The 24,098-nt window shown below is 40.8% G+C and overlaps 1 protein-coding gene and 1 pseudogene across 1 annotated transcript in view; one reads left to right on the plus strand and one right to left on the minus strand.

The window, feature by feature from the left end:
* The first annotated feature begins 9,508 nt into the window (after positions 1 to 9,508).
* On the plus strand, positions 9,509 to 11,512 carry LOC100533722 (endogenous retrovirus group FRD member 1, envelope pseudogene; annotated as a pseudogene).
* PON3 (paraoxonase 3) overlaps positions 19,417 to 24,098 on the minus strand; it is a 36,504-nt gene continuing 31,822 nt past the window's right edge. Inside the window, exons 6-9 of the mRNA NM_000940.3 lie at positions 23,408 to 23,608; positions 22,305 to 22,386; positions 21,907 to 22,035; positions 19,417 to 19,676 (exon numbers count right to left, since the gene is read on the minus strand). Of these exons, the coding sequence (NP_000931.1) occupies positions 19,518 to 19,676; positions 21,907 to 22,035; positions 22,305 to 22,386; positions 23,408 to 23,608 (571 nt within the window). The 3' untranslated portion in view covers positions 19,417 to 19,517. The remainder of the gene's footprint in view (positions 19,677 to 21,906; positions 22,036 to 22,304; positions 22,387 to 23,407; positions 23,609 to 24,098) is intronic.

Consider the following 24,098-nt stretch of genomic DNA (forward strand, 5'->3'; position numbering starts at 1 on the left):
TTCTTTTTCCTTGAACATGTCTCTCCAGTCATTTGACATTACCCATTTCTTTTTTGCAATTAGTTGGGTATGGCCAGGTGGCTAGATTTTACCATTAGAAGGGAATTTGAAGTGCTGAGTACCATTGCTGGTCCTGGGCCTTAAGACATTGGGTACTTCTTTACATTCCCTCTAGTCTTTCTTCTTCCACTTTGACAGAACACAGACACAGTAGTGACCTAGATTCAACCATGCAGATAACCGCAGTCACCTAGGAATGGTTAGCAATATGAAAGAGCCACTCACTGCTCAAGATTCACTCTCTATGCAGCCCCCTCAATGCTCCGTCCCTGGAGGCATTATGAACTCCACCAATAGCTCCCTTGCCTTCTGGCTTCTAGTTCAAAGGGTGGAATAAGTTAAGTCAGGATATCTATTCCCTCCATGCCCTCTGTGCTGAGCTGTCACAGGTTGGCTTCATCCTTCTACCAATGGCCACAGCATCTACTGGGAGAGTCTCCACTTTGTCTACCCTCTTCTTGTGCCAGTATCTGCTTCCACTCCTTATTCCTTCAAACCTAGAGATGGTAAGAGCTCCTGGCCTTCCCCTCACCCCACCTCTTCTATCCCATTGCTAGCACTGGAGTATTGTATTGTGTCTTGTTAATTTCCCTTAGTTTTCCCATCCTTACATCAATAGTCCCCTTAAAGAACTTCCCTCAATAGCCGTTCTGAGTGTGCCTTCTCTTTCCTGAAGGATTTGATGAGTGGGGTCTCTGAATGACCCCCTCAAGAGAAACTCCCCTACTAATAACTCTCACAAGAACTGTTAGATGAGAGAGAAATAAACATCCATGATTTTTAAGCTACTATATTTCTGTTCTATGTGTTATAGTAATTTCGTCTTACCCTAATTAATAGAGTATGATATATTTTTTCTAGAAGTTTGTCCATTTCATTAAATTTTCAAATTTGTTGGCATAAAATGATTCATTGACTCCTCTTTCCCTCTCTGTCTATAGCATCTACATGTTTTAGTTTTCATTTCTAAAATTGGATATTTGAGCCATTATTTTTCTTCATTGTCTCATCACAGGGGTATTAGTTTTTATCAATCTTTTTAAAGAATGAACTTTTAAGGTTTGTTGAATCACTCCATTATATGTTCATTTTCTATTTCATTAATTGTACTGGTTATCGTAGCAAATTACTTTGGAACTTAGCAGCTAAAAATAATCAGAAATGTTTATCATAACACATTCTTTCTGGGAGCAAGGTGGAAATGGTAGCGTTATTGTATGATCTGACCTTGACAATCACACATCATCATTTCTAGAGTATCCTATTGGTTAAACAGGTCAGCCCTATTTGATGTTGTAGGGGGATATGCAAGGGCATGAATACCAGGAAGTGAGGATGTTGGGGTTCATGTTGGGATTCCGGTATTGGGGTTAGAGTAGGTAGTTAGGCAGACATGTGCAGGGAAGGAGAGCCTCCCCCTCCCACTGCCCACCACCAGGAATGTCAGGTGACCATGAGGTGATGGTCAGGTGGTTATTAAACTGTCTCACTAAAATAATAATTGGATGCAGCTGGCACCAGAGAAAGCCAGTCTCCCAATAGATAGAAACTACCTGAAGCTGGTGATCAGCAGCTTCCTGATAAGATCTCAGGATCTTGGCTTGGGTGAGTGGGTCCAAGCATGCGCACTAAGAGGTAAAATGGCAGAGTTTAACTGGTATATAACCTGCCACTCGATTGGTAAGGGAAAAACACCTCAAGTGAGCATGTGAACAACTTCAGTAAACACACTGCACATGCGGCCCCTCCCAAGTGCTGGCAGGCCACTGTGCATGTGGACAGCCTACCCCAAGGGAAGAATCAGGGGAGAAGAAATGCAAACCCCAGAATCATACCAATGTATTAAAACCCCAAGTCAAAGGTCACATGAGGCATTTGGATCTCTTAAGTCACCCACTTGACCCTCTTCCAAGTGTACTTTACTTCCTTTCATTCCTGCTCTAAAACTTAAATAAACTCTCACTCCTGCTAAAAAACTTGCCTCAGTCTCTCACTCTGCCTTATACAAGTAAGATGAATTCTTTCCTTTGAGGAGGCAAGAATTGAGCTGTTGTAGAGCTGTACAGATTTGCCAGTGCAAAAATACTTTGCTACCATGACTTGGATATATTCTCTACTGGTAAGACATCTCTATGCCTTGCCTTCTTAGGCTGGAGGCATCCAACCCCCATACCCATACATGGTTTCCTTCTCCCCTTTCATTCTCCTGCTTATTAACTAACCCCCAAAATGGTTCCTCTCAGTCACAGTAGCTCTGGTCCCCATAGCTGATCTCTCAGCTGGCCCTGATGGTGGCTCACAGGGGTGAATAAAACCTTGGAGACTGCACCAAGTAGACCTGAGACAATAACAGCTCTCCTGGATAGGAGGCTCATGAGAGGGGTAGGGCTAAAGCCTAAGACTGTGCAATGTCTGGGGTTTCCTCTCTTTTTCCTACTAAAATTGGCTTTTTTCCTAAAACCAACACCACCTATTCTGTTTTCTCTCTGTGAATTCTGAAATGGTCTTGCGTACCCACCAGGGGGCAAGTCTGCCTTTTCCCCGCTTTCACTTTGCATGCCACACGACTTCCTACTCTGCCTTAAACACACACTCCCAGTTTGTTATTTATATGCCTGAAGCTCTTGCTGTTTGCATAGCAGCAAAGAAATGGGCTTCCTTGTGGATGTCTGTTGGCTCATTTCTAGGACAGACACTTACCAGAACCCTGACTCTGCCAGCTCCTTATGACTTACCATATGCATTTCGTTTATGCTATGCTCCAGGGCCAAGTTTTTTGGTGTCTTTTGATGCTGTTTATCCACTGCATAGGATCTCACTCTGTGGCTTTTTAAGGACCCCACCTACTACCACTGCCCCCCCACCTTTTTTTTTTTTTTTTTTTGAGTAAGCAATCCTTAGGGAGGAAGGAAAATTCTTCCTTTGCCATTTGCAAACCCTTATTCTTCCAAGCCCCAAGTCCTCTGGAGATTCCTCCTTTATGTTAAGAAGGCAAAAAATGCTGCCCTTTTGAATCCAAGGGCTGCTGGTTTTGCAAGCACATGAAGGCTTTCCGTGGGAATTCTTCTTGCTTCTTCCCATTTCCTCCTGTAGCAGAGGGATTATCTTGCCTGTTGAAGCATTTGTTCTCCATGTTACCCCGGGAGGATAAGGAACCCCAAATACAAAATTTTCCCCATTCTTCTGATCACTTCCAGATTCTTCTCAATAGGTATAAGGACCTTCAAGGCCATATTTGAAGGGAGGAAAGTCCAACCCCTTGCAGCCGTTGGCTGAGAACCAGTCTTCCCGTCTACTTAAAGCACATCATTCTCAGCAAACTAACACAGGAACAGAAAATCAAACACTGCATATTCTCACTCATAAGTGGGAGCTGAACAATGAGAACACATGGACACAGGGCGGGGAACATCACACACCGGGGCCTGTCAGGGGGTGGAGACTAGGGGAGGGATAGCATTAGGAGAAATACCTAATGTAGATGATGGGTTGATGGGTGCACCAAACCACCATGGCACATGTATACCTATGTAACAAACCTGAACATTCTGTACATGTACCCCAGAACTTAAAGTATAATTTTAAAAAACCCAACAACTTCTTTGAAAGCCTGAAGAATAATTTCAATGTTTTTACATTTAATTTGCCTTTTTCATTAAAGTTTATTCAAATTTTATGCCCCCCAAAATAGGAATATCAGAAAAGAAATAATCATTTTGTTGCTAGAATGCTCCAAGTGAGGTCACCATAAGGTCATAGAGACAGATATGAGCCAGCCCAAGGCTTCAGGCACAACAGACAAAAGTACTCATAGGACAGAGATGAAGGCTGGTCCCAAGCTATAGGCACAGATTACCATTAGAATAGGGATGAAGGAAAGCAAGGTTAGGGGTTCCCAATAAGACCAGTTCATTCTGGACCCCAAGGATGAAGAAGGGGCCCCCTGTTTACTCCAGTATCTCCTTTGTTCTCAAGTGGGTAATCATGATGAGATGGGACCAAGGTTAGGGGTACTTGGTGAGACTGGTTTATTTTGGAACTGTAAGGACGAATTGGGGGATGCAATGTTTAGGAAAGGATGATAGGGGAATAAGAGGGAATGCATTCTTTTTTTCTTTTTTTCTCCTCTGTTCTCTCTTCACAGATGGGTAATTGCCTCTCCATATGACAGGACACACCCCTAGATGCATCCTCAAGAACTGGGAAAAGTTTGACCCCCAAACTCTAAAAAAGAAAAGGCTAACATTTTTCTGTAATATAGCCTGGGTTGAATCCAAGCTCAGGGACCAGGAATCTTGGCCAGAAAATGAGATCATAAATTTTAATATGATCTATTGACTGGATTTGTTTTGCTGGCAGCAGGGAAATTGGGCAAAAATCTCCTATGTACAGGCCTTCATAGTCCTAAGAAACAACCCTGACCTTTGTCAGGCTTGTAAAATGGATCCAGCAATGATAGCAGCCACAGTCAGGCAGCCCCCTCTGGTTGGTTTGGGAGACCATTATTGTGTTTATCCAGGGCTCAAGCCCCAGAGAAACCAAGGGCAGAGCTTAGCTCAAACTCCCCTTCTACCCTATTATATCCAAGTCTCCCAGCCCTGGCTCATTTCCTTCCCTAACCAGGGCCATCCTCTGGACACCACCCCCTTAAGTTATGCCGCTTCAAGAGGTTAGCAGCCCCAGTAGAGCCACTAGGGTCCAAACTCCATTCACTATGCAATACCTGAGCCAAATTAAAATGGAACTAGGTAAGTTTATGGAAGACCCTGACAAATACATGAAAGGGTTCCACAAGGTAGGCTTAACATTTAAACTCACCTGGAGGGACCTCTCAGTCATACTAGGGCAAACTCTGTCTAAGGGAGAACGTGACTCCATTAAGGAAGTGGCCCAATAATTTGCAAATGCAATGCATATGACTGACCCTGGTGCCTACTCTGGGGGTGGGGGCGGGTAGGGGGCACAACAGTTTCTCAGGTGGACCTCTTTTGGGATTACAATACCTAGTGGGGCATGTGGACAAGGAACCACATATTCCTCTATCTGGTAGAAGGAATGAAAGCTAGCAGAACAAAGCCTGTGAACTACAATAAATTGGCCTTAATAGATCAAGGCCTTCTTGAAACCTCCTCTGCTTTCCTAGGGAGGCTACAAGAGGCCCTAATGAGATATACTAACCTAGACCCAGAGACACCAGAAGGGCAACTGGTCCTAAAGGACCATTTCCTAACTCAGGCAGCCCCAGATGATTTGGAAGAAACTCCAGAAACTAGCACTGGGTCCCAACACCCCTATGCCTGACACCCTCAAAATAGCTTCCTCAGTCTTTTACAACCAGGACCAGGAGGAAGAGGAAAGTGTTCAGGAAAAGGAGAAGTGAAAGGAAAAGAGGGAGCTCCAACTATTGGCTGCTCTACGGGTCCATTAGCCCCCTCCAGGTTGCCCTCAGACAACCCTCCCAGATAACTGACATTGGTGTGAGAAGTCAGGCCACTGGAAGGCAAACAGCCCCAGTGGAGCAGATGGGAAAAAGCCCCGCATGGCTTGCCCCTCTGCCACAAGCTCAGCCACTGGATCTGAGACTTCTCTGAGGGCCAAAGGGCCCCTGGGACAGAATCCCAACCCCTGATGACCTTGAGCTGAAGGGGCCCTATGGTCTGGCCAGCTCCTGGATTGAACATCACTATTGAGGGGATGAAGCTAAGGGCTGCTTTGGACACGGCAGGTATGACTGTAAGGTTTCTTTTGGACAAAGGAGCTGCCTGCTCAGTGCTTACCTCTTTTTCTGGGCAATTATCCTCAAATCCTGCCAGGCAATGGGGGTAAATGGGGTGCCCATAATATAGAGGTTTGCTCCTTCTTGGTGCTGCCTGTGGGGATAAATGGTATTTTCTCATTCATTTTTAGTGATGCCAGAATGTCCTATGCCTCTTTTGGGTAGAGACATTTTGTTTAGACTAGGAGTTCAGTTAACCTTTCCTCCAGGGCCAACACCCCCTTTTCCAAATGCAATCTTATTCCTCAAGGAAACCACACACAAGGATGAACTGCCCACAGACCTTCCAATTAATCCAGAGGTCTGGGCCCCAGGAATACCAGGAAAGGCTGTAATGGCCATGCCTATAGCAATTCAGCTCAAGGATCCTTCTAGTTATCCTTGCAGAGGGCAGTTTCCTCTTCAGTTGGAGGCCAAAGAGGGACTTCAGCCCCTGATTTAAAAATTTCTAACACATGGATTAATATCCTGTAACTCACCCTATAACACCCCTATCTTAACTGTTAAAAAGACTAACGGAGAATACAGGTTAGTCCAGAATCTGTGAGTCATAAATGAGGCAGTAGTCCGAATACACCCAATGGTCCCCAACCTTTATGTAATTCTAGAAGATTTCCAGATGCTCAGTGGTTTTCGGTCTTAGACTTCAAAAATTTCTTCTGTATCCCCCTAGACCCATCCTCCCAATTTATATTTGTATTGGAGTTGGAGAATGAAAAAGGAAGAAGTTAACAGCTCACCTGGACAGTGCTTCCACAAGGTTTCAGAGATAGTCCCCATTTGTTTGGGCAAGCCTTGGCTAGATATTTGCAGGACCTAAGTCTTTATATGGGAGGGCATCTCCTACAGTACATGGATGACCTGTTAATCTGCTCCCCAACAAGAGAGTTAGGAATCCAACATCTAAATTTCCTTGCAGACAGAAGGTACAAAGTGTCCAAGGCCAAGACACAGCTACTAAGACAAGCAATCCAATACCTGGGGATAATCATGAGCCTCAAAGAACACAAGCTTTCTGCAGAATAGATACAGGCAATCCTTAGAATACTACACCAACCACCCAAAAGCAATTTTGAGCTTTTCTGGGGATCACAAGATACTGCAGACTTTGGATACTGGAATGTGGTGGAATTATTAAATCCTTATATCAGGCTTTAAAAGAAGGGACTAATAGGGACACAATCTCTGGGAAAAGAATCAGGAGCAAGCCTTTAGGTAGTTAAAAACTGCCCTCTCACAAGCCCCAGCCCTTGAGCTACCCATACTAACCAAACCATTTCAGTTTTTCATCACTGAAAAGGCAAGGTATAGCACTAGGAGTTCTAACTGAAACCTTTGGGCCAGTCAAACATGCTGTAGGTTATTTTTCAAAGAACCTAGACCCAGCAGCACAATGGTGGCCACATTGCCTCAAGGTAGTGGGTACAGCAGCCCTTATTCTCGAGGAGGACTTCAATATCACAATGGGACAATCAATCTGGCTCCTAATGTCCCACCAAATAGACCCTTTATTGAATTTAAAAGGACCATAATGGCTCACTGACAACACATTGATAAAGTACCAAGTCTTGTTGTTGGAAAACCCACAGGTAACAGTTGAGCAGTGTTCCACCATTAACCCAGCCCTCTTACTGCCACTACCAGGAGATGATAACTCAACATATTCATGCTGTGAGATTCTTAACAAAATTTATGCCAGCTGGGAAGACTTAAAGGATCAGCCCATAGATAATCCAGACAAAATATGGTTTTCAGATGGCAGTAGCTTCGTCAGGGATGGAACTAGATATGCAGGGTATGCTACAGAGTCCCATCACCAAGTTGTAGAGACTAAAGCTCTGTCCCCAGGGACCTCAGTGCAACTAGCCGAATTCATCACACTAACCAGAGCCCTAAAACTAGGGGAAAGAAAAAGAATAACCATCTATACAGATTCCAAATATGCCTTCTTGGTGCTTCATGCCCACATGGCTATCTGGAAGGAAAGAAGGTACCTAACAGCTCAGGATGCTCCTATTAAGTATGGGTCTCAAGTCTTAGAGCTACTGGAGGCTGCTCATTTGCCCCAGGAAGTGGCAGTAGAGCATTGTGAAGGACACCACAGGGGCTTCTATTAAACTACATGGGGAAACAGGTTAGCTGACAAAAATGCTGAAGAGGCAGCCATGTCAAATGATACCTTCATGGGAGACTTGTTCCTCTCTCTCCCCAGTGAACTGCCCTTTCTCCAATACACTAAGGAAGAAATAGATTGGTCCAGCCAACATGGGTATAAAGAAGAAACCAGTGGATGGTACAGATTGGAAGAATTTTTCCATCTACCTCCCAATGGAAAGCCTCCCAGGGAAAAGCTTTCCATTGGGAGGTAGATGGAGAAATTGGAGGAGAGATGAAGAAATTGGCAGGTAGATGGAGAAAAGTGTGGGGAATCTTGGTTGATGGCAGAATTGGTTGTGGGTGTATGTTTGGTAAGTTTGTTGGTTAGGGTCTACAGTGAGAGTCACACTGCAAACCGTACTGGGAAGAGCCCCTATATCTATTCCATTTTTCTTCTCAGCCATAATGCAAATAGGGGCTATTCCCATTAAAGTGATATTAGAAAAGATGGGTCCAAAAATGGAACCTCCCAATGGAAAGTCATTAAGAGTTTTTACAACTTCTTCCACCTTGCAAAGGACAGTCTAGGACAAATTTGTAAATAAGTGTTCAGTGGGAAGGGACTAAACAAAACCATTCAACAGGTTTGTCAAGCCTATACCCTATGTACCATAAATAATTCCCAGAGAGGGAAGCCCCCTCCATTAATAAGTCCAATCCAGAGGAGAAGTACATACCCTGGGGAGGACTGGCAAATGGACTTCACTCATCTCCCTGCAGGCTTCAGGTAAAAGTACCTCTTGGTCTGTGTAGATACCTTCACAAAATGGGTAGAAGCCTGCTCCACAAAGACTGAGAAGGCACAGGAGGTAGCTAAATTCCTCCTAAAGGAATGCATTTCCTGGTTTGAGCTACCCAGGTCATTGCAAAGTGACAATGGTCCATCCTTTATTTCCTAAGTAACTCAACAGGTTAGTAGGGCCGTTAGTAAGCATAAATGTACCTTCACTTTGCCTGGTGATCACAACCTTCAGGAAAAGTGGAAAGAACTAAAGAAACCCTCGAACACATACTCAATAAACTCTGTCAGAAAACAGCACAGCCATGGGTGGACCTCTTACTCTTAGCCCCACTTTGGATCCATATTGCCCCTCAGACTCCCTTGCAATTAATCCCCTTTGAGGCCTTATATGGTAAGCCATTCCTATATTCAGACTTAATGCTAGATGAAAAAACTGCCAAAATCACCTACTGTGTCTCTTCTTTAGCAGGTTTCCAACAGGCTCTCCAGGAATTTTGGTTACAAAGAAAGCCAAAATCAGAAGGGGAAAAATACCAGCCTCTGTATCCTCCAGGCTCACTAGTTCTTATTAAAGCTTGGAGAGATGGAACTCTGAATTCCCAACTAACTCCAGTCCGAAGGGGCCTCTTCACCCTTAGAGCCATTAAAGTATCAGAGATTGTCAGTTGGATACATCACACCTGAGTGAAGCCATGGAAAGGCTCCAAAACACCAGATCTGGAAGCAATGCCCTCAGCTCCAGAACACACTTGAGAGGCACTGGAAAATCTGTGATTCCTCTTTAAGTGAAAAGATAAGTAATGCCCCTCAACATCCTTTCTCTTCAGAGTAAGATGATCTTAATATTAGAAATCTTACTTGCAATTGCTCTGATTATTATCACTATTTTAACCCTAACTTGTACACCACTAGGCCTTCCAGTGGCAGCTTTCTTTGTGACCAGTTTCTCTCTTCACAGTCACCTTAGGTTGCTATGGGCCTGCTCCAGTTGGTTCTCAATCTCACCCCTTTACTAGCAGGACACTACCATCCTGATTTCCCATTATTGGAAAAAGCTCAGTAACTGCTCCAAAGCACAGGATCCCCTTACTCCACCAATTGCTGGTTATGTACCAGCTCTTCTGCTAAAACGGCAGGGAGAGCTTATTCAGCCTCACCAAGAGATTGGACAAGTATAAAGGCAGAACTGCATATTTTCTATCAATGGGAGGCTAATGGGAGATGTTTGGGCCTGCAAATAGCCTTCTTGCAAAAGTAAAGCAAGATTTCCCTGATATCTGCAAAGAACCTCCCAATTTTGGATCCATCTTTTCTAATACCACTTTAATGGGACTAGCCCCTATTTGCATTACGGCCAATAAGAAAAATGGAATGGATGTTGGGGCTCTTTCCAGTACAGTTAGCAATGTTACTCTCACTGTAGATCCTAACCAACGAACTTGCCAAACGTACACCCACAACTAATTCTACCATCACACAAGATTTCCCAAACCTTCAAATATTACCTTTCCTCTGGGAACTTTGCTGGATAAATCCACCCAGTTTTGCCAGGGACACCCAAGCTCCTGCAGTATTCAAAATTTCTGGTTCCGGCCTGCTGATACAACCAATGCCTGCAAATTGCCAATCTCATTTCTACAGAAGAATGGGTTCTATTGGACCAGACTCAAAATTCTCTTTTTTAGGAAAATAAAACCAAGGGAACTAAACAGAACCAAAGCCCATGCACATAAGTCTTAGCAGGCATGACTATAGCCACCAGCTACCTGGGTGTGTTGGCAGCCTTGGCATTTCTTGGAGCTGTCCTCACCCCCTTGTTTCATTTTTACATCTCTACTTATCTTAAAACCCAAGGAGCCTTCTATATTTGTGGCCAGCCAGTTCACCAGTGCCTCCCCACTAACCGGACTGGAACTTGTACCATAGGCTATGTATCCCTAGACATCTTCATAGTCCCTGGCAATCTCTCTCTTCCAGCACCAATCTACAGGCATTCCATCTTTTCCAGGATGAGGAGGGCTATCCAATTAATTCTCCTTCTCACAGGACTTGGTATTATAGCCAGTATGGGAACCAGAATTGCTAGAATCACAAAAGCCTCCTTGACCCATAGCCAGCCCTCAAGGGAAATAGCCAAGAACATTGATGCTACGGCTAAAACCTTAACAACTGTGCAAGAACAAATTGACTCTTTGGCAGCTATAGTCCTCCAAAATTATCAGGAGTTAGACAAGTTAACAGCAGCACAGAGAGAAACTTGTTTAGCCTTAGGTGAAAAATTTTGCTTATGGGTCAATCAATCAGGAAAAGTACAATATCAGACAACTCCTAAATTGAGCCTCCAGTTTACTGGAACAAGCCTCTCAGGGTTGGTTAGATTGGGAAGGAAGCTGAAAATGCTTCTCCTGAGTTATTCCCCTTTTAGGCCCACTTGTTAGTCTCCTACTTTTGCTCCGTTTTGGGCCATGTCTTCTAAATCTAGCAACCCGATTTGTCTCCTCACACCTTCAGGCCATCAAGCTTCAGATGATCCTCAGTGAGAGATACCATCGTCTCAATATTCAAGAGTCACACTTCTACAGAGGACCACTAGACTGCCCATCAGTGAGACATGAAAGAAGCGAAATCCTGCCCCTGTCTCCCTTGGACCTTGCTGGATACCACTTTCACCAACCCACAAAGCCACCCTGCCCTGACAGCAAGACGCCAAGACCCACAGAACAATCATCACCGTCCTTCTGTCAGCAGGAAGCAGTTACAGAAGACTGACCTTTGTCCATTTTCCCAAAGAATTGGGTCGGGAATGTTAGAGTAGGTAGTTTGGCAGACATGAACAGGGCAAAAGAGGCACCCACCCCGCCGCTGCTTCCATGAATCTCAGGCAACCATCAGATGATCAGGTGATGGCCAGGTGATTGTTAAGCTGTCTCACTAAAATAGTAATTGGTTGCAGCTGATGCCAGGGACAGGCAGGCTCCCAACAGATAGAAAACACCTGAAACAAGATCAGCAGCTTCCCGATAAGGTCTCAGGAGTTGGGTGAGTGGGCCCGAGCATGCATACTAAGAGGCAAAATGGTGGAGTTTAACTGGTATATGACCTTCCTCTAGGAATGCTCAACTGGTAAGGGAAAAATGCCTCAAGTGAGCACACACAAAACTTCAATAAACACATTGCATATGCAGCCCCTCCCAAGTGCTGGCAGGCCACTGCACATGTGGAAATCCCACCTTAAGGAAAAATCAAGGAAGGAGAGATGCAAACCTCAGAACCAGGCCAATGTATAAAAACCCCAAGTGAAGGGTTGGATGAGGCACTTGGATCTCTTAAGTTGCCCGCTTGGCCCTCTTCCAAGTATACTTTCTTTCCTTTCACTCCTGCTCTCATTCCTGTTCAAAAACTTGCCTTGGTCTCTCACTCTACCTTATACCCCTTAGGTAAATTATTTCCTTTGAGGAGGCAAGAATCAAGTTGCTGCAGACCCATATGGATCCACCACTGCTAACAATCCTAGAGCTATCTACTATGTTAGTTTTTGCTCTGATGTTTACTATTTCCCTTCTTGAACTTTCTTTGGTCTTACTTTGCTGTTTTCTTCTATCAACAAAAGGATGATATTACCTCTTTAATATCAGTTTTTCCTCTTTTCTATTGTACTCATTTAAGAGTATAAATTTTACTTAAATTTAATTTTAGCTGTTTCCTATAAGATTTTATCTGTTGGAAAATTTTTATTATTCAATTAAAATCACTTTCTTATTTCCATTTTACTTCTTTTTCTTTTTTGACTCGCAGATTATTTAGAAATGTTACATAATTTTTCAACATGCAAATTTTCTAGGTTTTTAAAAAATTGAGTCTAAGCTTGATTGCATTGTAGTCAGACAATATATACTATTATCAAGACTCGCTTGACAGCCAGGTATATAGTCAATTTTTGTAGATGCTCCTTGTGAGCTTGAAATAATGTGTATCTGCAATTACTTGGCACAAGGTTCTATATAATCCTATTAGGTTAAGTTTGCAAATTGTGTGTTTTAGGTACTCTCTATTCTCACTAATCTTTTTAAAAAAATTTTGCTAGTTCTACCAATAAACAATGAATGCCAAGTTAAAATCAATCATGATGACAGTACGACTGTTTGTATTTTTCTTGTAGTAGTTCAGCAAATTTTTGCTGTGTATATTTTAAGGTTGTATTAGAAGGAACATGTACACTTAAAATCACTCTATCTTCTGGGTGGTCCCTTCTATCCATGGTAATACTTTTACTTTTAAAGTCTATTTTGATTGAACAATATAGTTCTTCCCACCCTTGGCTCCTTTTAAAGTCTTTGTGTTTGATGCTCTGCAGTTTCACCAAGATATGGCTAGGTATGAATTTCTAAGTCTCAGCATGATTAAAATATTTTCTCTACCCAACTCTTTTCTTTTTTTCCTTTCCTTCTGGGGATCCAATTTGTCCTATGCTAGATCTTCTCACTTTTAGCCTCCATGTCTTTTTTAGAGTTTCCTCTCTCAGTTTTTCCGTGTTATACTGAATATAATCTCCCATGAACTATTTTTCATTTCATTAATTATCTCTTCAGATCTGCTACATTTCCTGTTAAATTCACCCATTAAAGGTTTTTGTTTCTGTCTCTCATTTTCTTTTCTTTTTTTTTTTTGCTCCCTAATGTCCTTGACACAACCCCACACTGTTTCCGAAAAACTGACCTCAAAAACTTAAGAATGAATTCAGGTCCCTTTCCCCCTTTCCAATAATTAGCCACATGTATCACATAACCCATAACTTTATCTGAGCCTGAGCATGTTTTGGCCTGTCTTTATTTGCAACCTACATGACCTCACCAGTCATCTACCTTAAGAGGGTGTATTTAGAGGCTTTGTGTGGGGCCAGGTGCAGTGGCTGATGCCTGTAATCCCAGCACTTTGGGAGGCTGAGGCAAGTAGATTGCTTGAACCCAGGGGTTTGAGACTAGCCTGGGCAATGTGGGGAAACCCTATCTATTAAAAAAAAAAAATTAACTGGGTGTGGTGGTGCACGCCTGCAGTCCCAGCTGCTCAGGTAGGGGGATTGCTTAAGCCCAGGAGGTCAAAGCTGCAGTGAGCCATGATCATGCCATTGCACTCCAGCCTGGGTGACAGAGAGAAATCCTGTCTCAAAAAAAAAAAAAAAAAAAAAAAAAAAAAAAGGCTTTGAGTGACTATCCCGAGGCATTTGAGTCCCGAAGATTAGAAGTCATCCTCATAGCCTTTCCAATGGAGTAACACTTTTTGTGTGCTTTGAAATTAAAAAGTGGAAAATGTTTCCCTCAGATTGTGAGACCCTTTATAAATGTATATGTGAACAATTTTTAAGCTGCTATACCTCAATAATAAAATGTTTCCTGGCTACTCATTAAGTTTTAAATTTCTATTACTAGATTTTCATTTCTGAAAGTTCAATTTTATATTTTTCAAATCTGTTGCAATTTTTTTATACAATTTACTGTACCCTGGGTTTAAAATTGTCTTTTATTTCTTTAAACTCTGTAAGTATAGTTATTGAGCCTCTATTTGATCATTTCTGTATTTGGGGTCTCTGCAAGTCTGTTTCTGCCATCACTTGTTTCTGCTGGCTTTTGTTTCTCCTGCTCTGTTTCTTTGGTTATTTATTTATTTATTTATTTACTATGATTTGTTGCTCATTGCTTAGATAATTATTTGTTAGGTTTCTTAAGATCTAGGATAAAATCCAGAGAGGATATGTGTTTGTTTCTGCCAGGTGAGTAAATATACTACAAATATGGTATGACTTTATACTAAATTTACAGCTTGAGTTTTTTTTTTTTTTCCGTTCAATCAGTGGGAATTTGGCTCAAAATCTGAGTGATGATAAGCAGATGGATATCAACAACAATCTTGAATTTATTTCATCAATATTAAATTAATCAGCAATATTAAATGTATTTATTTTACTTTTCTCAGTCCCAAGACAATTTTCTTTTTAGGTTTCTGGGAGTCGAAATATTGAACAGATTTATATTTATTTCAACCTTAGAGGAATATTTAGCCCTTTGGGGTCAGAGGGTTTTGGTTTTATAGGTGTTGGTCCCTTATTAGACTCCTCATTTTAGGATGAACTGTGATTTGGCTTCTGTTCCCCTTGCCCTCTGAGACATTAAAACCCAAAGCACAAGATCAATCAGTTAGGATGCCCTCAGGACAAGACCGAATTCAATCCTGCTTACCTTTCTGGATTTCTGCTTTCCTTTAAATTATGATTTGCTGATTCTATATTATCTTGTGTGATATTTGATGCTTTCAAAAATATTTTCTCTATTATCTTTTGTTGTTTATATTAGGCTGTTTTGTTCTGAATTATTTAGCCTGTTGTATTGCTAGAAATCAAAGTTGTCCCTTTAAGATATAAATAAGTTTATGTCATTTATTTAAAAGAATTCTACTAGACTTTGAATTTACTGATTAATTTGGAGAGAATTTATATCCTTATAAGTTCACCTTATCCAGGAGCCTAGAATATGTATCTACATATTCAAAATATTTTCTAGACCTTTTATTAGAGTTTGAACATTTTCTCCACAGAGGTCTTGTGTACTCTTGGTTAACTTTTTTTTTTTTTTGAGACGGAGTCTCGCTCTGTCACCCCGGCTGGAGTGCAATGGCGCGATCTTGGCTCACTGCAAGCTCTGCCCCCTGGGTTCCCGCCATTCTCCTGCCTCAGCCTCCCGAGTAGCTGGGAATACAGTCGCCTGCCACTACGCCCAGCTAATTTTTTGTATATTTAGTAGAGACGGGGTTTCACCGTGTTAGCCAGGATGGTCTCGATCTCCTGACCTCGTGATCCACCCGCCTCGGCCTCCCAAAGTGTTGGGATTACAGGCGTGAGCCACCGTGCCCGGCCAGTTAACATATTTATTTCTTAGATGCTGTATAGATTTTCTTGCTATTGTGAGTGCTATCTTCTCTATGATTCAAATTCATAATTGTCATTGCTATTAAATGTTATTATTTAGCTTGTATCAGGCAACACTGTTGAGTATCCTAATGGTATATCTCTTGGTTCTATTGTTTTATTTTCAAGTAGATGATTATGTAATCTACAAACAATAATAGTTCTATTTCTACCCTTACAATTCTTACAGTTCTAATTTATTTTTCTTTTGTTTTTTGAGTGAGGGTCTCTCTCTGTTGCCCAGACTGGAGTGCAGTGGTGTGATCACAGCTCACTGCAGCCTTGACCTTCTGGGATCAAGTGATCCTCACACCTCAGCCTCCCAAGTAGCTGGGACTACAAGAATGTGCCACCATGCTGGTTAATTTTTTGTATTTTTAGTAGAGATGGGATTTTGCCATGTTGCCCAGACTGGTGTGGAACTCCTAGACTTAAGCAATCTGCCCTCTTTAGCCTCCCAAAGTGCTGGGATTACAAGTGTCAGCCACTGTGCCCAGCCTATTTCTTTTTCTTATCTTATAGCATTGGTCAGGACTTCCAATCCTATGTTAAACAACAGTCATGGTAAAATAGAGAATCTTTGTCTTATTTCCAAACGCAAAGGAAATACCCCAGCATTTTGTGAAGCATTAGTTCCTGCATTTGATCACTTTCCCCAAAAACTAGATAGAGTGGTTTCTGCTACCTGAAACTAAAACCTGTTTGATGCCAAAGGAATACAGAATGAGAATTTTTCTGTGATTATAGAATCAGCATCGAAGGGCTCAAAGATAAAAACAACAAAGCACCAAGTACCCCACATTCTGAAAATTGCTGAAAATACTTGAAGTCAAATATCACAACCAAAGCTTGCTTGTGGCTCCTGGAAGAGTTCATCTACCTCTAACCCTCACCCTTGTATTCCCAATTCATGTCTCTGATAATTAAGCAGAAAGACTAGGGAAGAGAAGAGAATGAATTATCAAAATGCAGCATTTATTGTGAGGAGCGATTCTTCTCCTTCCCAAGCCAAGTGAGTGAAGAGGCTCAAGATAATCACATAAAGATTGGGGGTGCTTATGCAAAGGGAAAATTGGTTGAGATAACTGTCTAGGCTGCAGGCCTGTTGGTAAACCTGTGCCTCCCTATGAAGGGGAGAAAAAACTTATTGAAGGGAGATGACAAGGCAAAGAGAGGATGATAATGGGACAATCAACAACCCTATCCTTTGGAAAGAATGGGTAAATTGCCTACTCCAGGAGGAATCCAAGCTTCAACCACTTTGCCAAGGCCTCTCCCAAAGAGAGGACACACTGAGTGAGGGGATCCCAGTAGCTGAAGGTTGAGACTGACCTACTTGGAGCAAGAGCAGGGGTGAAGTGTAAAAGAGATTATGCTGGATCTTCCACTGGCATTTCCAGGAGAAAACCAACTTAATAGTCCATTGGTCTTAGCCACAGAACAAGGAATAAAAGATACTAATCACATGTCCATTAGCAAAAGACTAAGTTCTTTCCACTCTATCCTGTTCCAATTCTGAAAAAGCTAAAACCATGAAGTGTAACAGAACTTATTTTTTCCACAGCCTCATGTAATTTTGTTTTTGACTCCCCACACATTGTTTGGAAGCACAAATCAATATATAAGGCAATTCCAAAGCCCCCTCCCAATCCTGGGAGTTTTCTCTAAAATCCAGCAGGGAGAGCTAAAGCATCATGGGAGACAGCTGGTCTTTGATGTCACCGTCTAAACTTCGGTCTTCATTTGAATCAGATGACTACTTATTTTCTTTTTCCTGACAGCAAGACCTTTTTAAGTCTATCAGTTCTTTCTCTGCTAACCCCCATACCCCTCTGGGCACGTGGGAATTTGCTTCTGTGCCAAGTTCAAGTGTAGGTGTGATGCCATCCCCAGTAAATCACACTAGCATTTCTTCTCTGTTTTTTCATCAGGCTGAGCACAGAGAATCCCTAAGGCTTTGTGACTTTCCCAGGCCCTCCCAGGGAAAGGACACATTAGTCCCTCAGCAATCAGATCACCCAAATTTCCTGAGGAAAGTTTTATCCCCCAGCCTTTCTAACTTGGCCTGAGGAGAAGGCAGAGCAGGATCAATTCTCAGGAACTTACCAGCATCTAAATTATCTTTGTCTTTTCCTATCTCTCTTTATTCTCCCCTAGTCTGGTAAACATTATAATATAGTAAGTATGAGGGCTAGGGACTAAAACAAAGACTATTATATTCTTCAAAACTGACTCTACTTATTTTCTTAAATTATGTCTTTAATGTCTTTTTTATTCTGTGTTCTCTTGATAGCTAGGCTTTTGAAATTTAAAATCTAATAACTGACTATAGCATTCTGCTGAATGTTTATTCCTCTTTGAAGCAATGAAAACTACAAAGTCTTATAGTCAAAATCACAATGGGTTACACTGGAAAAAAGGAGAATTTTACCCTGCAAAACTTTTCAGCAAACCTACATAAAACTGAGCAATGTTCTTTTGCATATAAAATGGTCTCCCCAAAAGAGAAAAAGCATCAACCAACCACTCCCGAATAAAAGTCACAAAAAGGGAAGGGAGGTGCTTGGGTGCTCTGACTTTAATTAATGGTTTGTTTGCTAAAGGTTGTACTGGTTTGGGACCAAAAAAGGACACTTCTATTCATTCTCATCAAATTAAGTTTAAGGTTGGTCTTCAAGATAGGACATTAGGCCAGAACCATTCTACTCATTTCAGATTCCTTAGGGCCAAATTTACTGGAGGTTGCTTAATAACTGTTTATTGAATAAACCAGAAGGGTAAGATAAAGGCAGTCAAAGATAACTGCCTTAAGGCTTCATCTAAGATTCAGAGCCCAGTAGGTTAGCAAAACAGTTGTCCCTCAATAACCATGGAGGATTGATTCCTGGACTCTGATGGATACCAACATCCACGGATGCTCAAGTCCCTGATATAAAATGGCATAGTATTTGCATATAACCTATGTTCATTCCCCTATGTAGGTACTCTCTAGATCACTTATAATACCTAATATCATCTAAATATTATGTAAATATGTGTTATACTGTGTTGTTTAGGGATTAATGACCAAAAAAAGTCTGTACATGTTCAGTACGGATGCAACCATCCATTTTTTTCCAAATATTTTCAATCTCTGGTTGGTTGAATCCATAGATGTAGAACTCACAGTTACAGAGGGCCAACTGTATTTCAGATACAAGCATCAATACAAATAAGGGCCTATTAGAGATAAGCACTCCCTGCCCTAAGGTAGCCTCTGAGGCCCAACTGTCAGATTTCTCAGAACCCAATTTCCTATGTGTCGGTACCCTGGGAGAATGCAAGTTCTAAGGGCTTTGGGCAATCACATGATGCTAATTCTTTATCTGCAGACTGGTACACTTAATTAACTGTCTGTGCCCAGCACAACTGCGGGGAGAGAACAGGGGTTGTAAATACTTGAACATTAGCTTTTCTCTTGGTCTGGACTGTAGGAGACCCAGAACGTCAAAACTGTAGGAGGAAACTTGGACCCAGTTACCAAGGACCTCTAGGTGAGTCGGAGACCTCACTGGACATAGTCCACATGTTTTATTGTAGAAAGAACATTGGGGCTGCTAACAAAGATCCGTAAAGTTTGGCTTCTTGTTGGACTGTCATTAACCTGACTTGCAATTTGATGGCTATCAAGGAATCTCTGTCTGCTCCTTTACTTCTATCCATAAGAAAAGCCACACTCACTGGTTGGTGTTTGCTATTTACTTACAGTGCCACTTATCATACAATTATCAGTTTACTTTTACAAAATATGTAGACTTTTTTTTTTTTTTTTTACTATCTAGAGTCTAGAGCTCACAGTACAGAGTTTTGTGAAATACGGTGCCTATGAGAATTTTCCCATGGTACACAGAAGCCACAGAGGTGCCCTGAAGCACAGAGCCATTGTTGGCATACACGGTGCTCACCCTGGGCTTCTCAGACAAAACATTCTGGATGCGAAGTACCTGTCGAGAAAAGATCGTTTATTAGTATATTATGTGAGTAAACACCTGTTTCATGATGTCCTTCCCAAACATTCTAGGATAAATCTATTTTTCAGAAATCAGAAGCTAAAATCTGTATATCTTCAATAAATTGTTCTTCTTCTGATGAAAGTACTAATGTCATAGATATCTATGCACCAAAGTGAACTGGCTTTCTGACATTAGCCAAATTCCTCAGGGATGACTTACACAATTTTTTTAGTGCAGGCATCCCTTACAGAAGGAGTTAAGATGCTCTTATTTAGTTCTCAAGTGGATGGTGGTCCTCCCTCTGTGGGAAGAATCTTGCCTTTGAGATTACAGTATGGGGAGAGAAACAAGACAAAATAATGAAGAAACACCCAGTTATCCAGCCAACCCAACATGGTAACTGATGGGATGGCAGTCATCACAGCTGGAGCCCCTTCACATCTGCAAAGTTGCTAGAAAGCATAAATAATGGATACTACTTTGGAATTTCATTTGACACATCACTGCCTAGTACTGTTATTGATCCCAGGATTAATACACTTAACTTTGCTAATCAGTGTATATTTAAGCACTCAGGCTTCCAAATAGGCTGGATGAAGTTCACTCAAACAAAATAAAATAAAATTTTTATTTTGGAATTAAAGGAAAACAATTAGAAATTTATGAGTTACGAGTCTATATTGATATCTCTTATTAGAACAGAGTTTGTTCTTTTTTTTATCTTAAGGGAGATCCTTCATCTCAGGTTTGTTAGACAAAAATACTTAAGCTTTGATTTCATGTACAAAACATGAGATTCAACCAAAATTAAAGGGTGTCAGTAATTGTGACAAAAAGTCTTATCTAAAATTTTAAAAATAATTCAACTTGAAAATAGAGATACGAAAAAGATCCTAAACAATTCTCCAATAATCCTATGTATCATATTTCATTTCCTTAAGACAGACATTGTGGTTGGGCTTTTAAAGGAAAGTTTTGTCTATCACTCTTAGGGGTACATATCTGAGGCAAGGATTGCTTCCTAGTTTAGGGTAACAATTCTGGTTCTAGGCTTAGGTTGGACTTTTGTTTCTTTTTACATTTCTTGTGTTCTTTTTAAGAAGCTGTGACTAATACATTAATAAAAAAAGAAATAATCATATTTTTAACTGAAAGACAGCAATACTGGAAGTAGAAATAACTGTATGTCCTAATTTACCCACTAGGCCAATTACTGGGTTTGAATTTGAATTTCAGTTTCTCAAATCACCAAATGTGGATTCACACATTTTAATTTTTTTCAAATTGTACTTTCTCAATGAGGCCTACTCTGATCTCTGACTTTAGTAGTAGGACCTGCTCATCCTGCTGCATATAGTAATCCTGATCCCCTTTACTCTGCTGAGCCTTTTTTCCCATAAAATTTGCCATCTTCAAAGTTACTATGTAATTTACTTATTTCTTATGCTTATTGTTCATTGTTTGTCCCCCTTTCTTAAGATCAGGGATCTCTGTATATTTTTTCTGATATATCCTAAACATAAGTACAATGTCTGACACATTACAGGTACTCAATAAATTTTTGTGAATAAATCTCTGAGTATGTGTGCCTAGAATTTATAGCTATATATAAATTCACTAAAGATTTTTAAATTGTTAACCTTAATGCCATAGAAAATGCAGTTGTCTTATAATGTTGTTTTTAATGTAGAAAATTCAATGGATTATGCTATTGTTTTAGAAGAGATATTTTAAAATAACACAAATGATATCTTGAAAATAAGACAATTTTCAACACCATCGTATATGTTAGAACTTACAGGCAAAAACTCATTTTATTTTGAGGCGACAGTTATTTAAATCCTTTAATCTTAGCTTCATGTTGGACAGTGTGAAAGAAGATGGTACCATATACAACTCTCTCTTTGTCTAACTGCAAGACCTACCTGCTCAGAGACTATCTCCTGATTGGAAATACGATATGGCAATCTGGGTCAATATGAATAATCGAGCTTATGTTTTTCCATTATTCCCAACAGCAAGAGTTATTGAAAAGTTAATGGTGGCCTAAAAGAGTTAACGAACCTTATCTCCCTACCTGTCAAAAACTTTACTTTTCTCATACGTAAAATTTCTTTAGTTCTATAACACCAAATGTGACTGGCTTAAATTCTTCCAAGTCACCCCAACAAATTTGTTCTTGCAGCTTTGCCTGTGAGCTCAGAGAGGTATAGGAACTTACTTCTGATCCTGGAGGGTCCTCAGGGTTATAGTTCAGTAGCTTCATAGGATTAGGATGGCATCCTGCCAAAATGTCTCCTGTGGCAGGATCGACAGTCAGGTTATCCACTAAGGTGCCCAACTGTATCACCTTACAACAAAGAGGGAGTAGTGAAGACATTGTCTCAATGATTCCTCGCTTTCTTCCCTATTCATCCCCACAACCCCTACAGCTTCTTCTGGCACCTAAAGTTGGTGTTTTTAGGGGGCTTTGCTTCTGTATTTTAGAAACGCATGCATAATCTCACTGGCATTGCTCTCAAATAGCCATGTTTTCCTCATTCAAGGGGCACATTCCTGGGTCAAGTATGGGACTAAGGTAAGAAGTCAGATTGTGTGGGCCAGACAGGGTACTCTTACCTTCAGTTGAGTTAAATCCCAGTTATCATGTTTTTCCATTATGTGAATGTTCTTAGCTGCTACATCAGCTACATAGACATACCTTTGAAGTAAATGACATTTACACTTAAGCAAGTGGTAATGAGAGACAACACTCACTTTTATTTTGGAGAAGAGGTATAAAAATGCACACTCCTTGAAAGTACCACTGCAATCCTTTTCTAAACCACAGTAAAAGAAGATAATGGGGTAGTATTTTTAATATTCTTGAAGTGCTTTAAACAGGCTTTGAATATGAGTTATGACTATAATGAAACTGGTGTTTCTAGATGACATATATAGGCTCAATCTTATTACTTCGAAGTCACAACTTTTTCCTTAAATTGAATGAAGGTAAGTGGATCTCTTACAAGGCCAAAAGTGTATATACTTCTAAAAACTAGTGCTTGAAAAAAAGTATCAAATGACCATAAAGCTCAATCACAATATTTTAAAAGAGGAAGGACACTGAGAGGTGTTTTCTACAGGGATCATCTTTGCTCATTATCTCAAATATACATGTTAATATTCAAGGTACTTCTGTTTATAAAAAAACCTCCAATTTTTAAACACTTTTTAAAAGTGTTTTCTCATAAAATTTCATGCTGTTTAAAATAGGGTTTTCTCATTGAATGGTCTGCTGTTGTAAGTCAGTAGGTCTGAAACTTATACAATCCCTATGCCCAATCTAAGGTAGCCTTCCCTCTCTCCTAAGAGCTTTTGTGTAACTGAACTTAGCATAAGTGGTCAAATACTTTGTACTTTCATAAGGGGCAGGGGTATTGCTCATTTATCTTCCTTTGTAGTGTGTTAGGAAAGTGTGTTTCAAGAGTTATGTAAAAATTTGGAATGAGGTCCTTATATCCTTAAGTCCACATCCCTCCTTTAACTGGGAAGAACCTAAAGTCCAAGGAAACAAATGGATTGCTTAGGATGACAGATTTAGTGTGAACCCTGGCCACAACTGATCCCTCCACACATATATTCACTACGTAAGCCTAAGTAAGGAAGTAACTTCCTCGTAAGGAAAGGAGTCCACGAAAATGTCAAGGGCAAAGGATAGAAAAATACACAAAAGAGCTTACTTCTGGTCTGCTGAGACTGTGATCCCATTGGCACTACAAAATCCTTTGGCCACCACTTTAACCTCCCTTGGGCTGTAGAAAAGAACATAAGTCCAGCGAAGATCCAAGATCATCTCAAAAAATGACAGGAGGGAGTTGGTAAAATAGTGGTCTCTGGTGGCATAGAACTGTTCTGGTCCAAGAACCACAATGTCATTCACACTAAAGTGAAAGGGAGGTGGAAAAAGAGACCCATGAGGTATTTAAATATCCTTTATCCTTGTCAAAATCACTCATCTCTACATAGACTAATACGTTCATCAATTTGAAAAAGGATACATGAACTAGTATGGATTAAGGAATTCCACAGAAAATCATGATTCTGCATTGCCCTGATGGGTTTTCTTTAGCCATTTGTTATTTTCTTACTCTTCTCTTTCACAGAAATCAGTGAAAAGAAATAAATTCACAAATAAATCTCAAACCCCAAAATCTGTTGACTTGTAAATGTTGATCATGGTTATCTGTGACAGTTGTAGTGCAGTTCACTGATAGCTATGGTTATCCTCCTTCAGGAATTACACTTCCCCATCCCCTTGCAGTTAGGCACAGCCATGTGACTTGCTTTGGCCAATGAAATGAAATGAAATGAGGTGAGTGGCTTGTGGATGGAAGATTTTAAGAACCACTGCTTGCTTCACCATGTTTCCCT

Source organism: Homo sapiens, chromosome 7 (genome assembly GCF_000001405.40).
Source record: "Homo sapiens chromosome 7, GRCh38.p14 Primary Assembly".
Taxonomy (NCBI): Eukaryota; Metazoa; Chordata; class Mammalia; order Primates; family Hominidae; genus Homo; species Homo sapiens.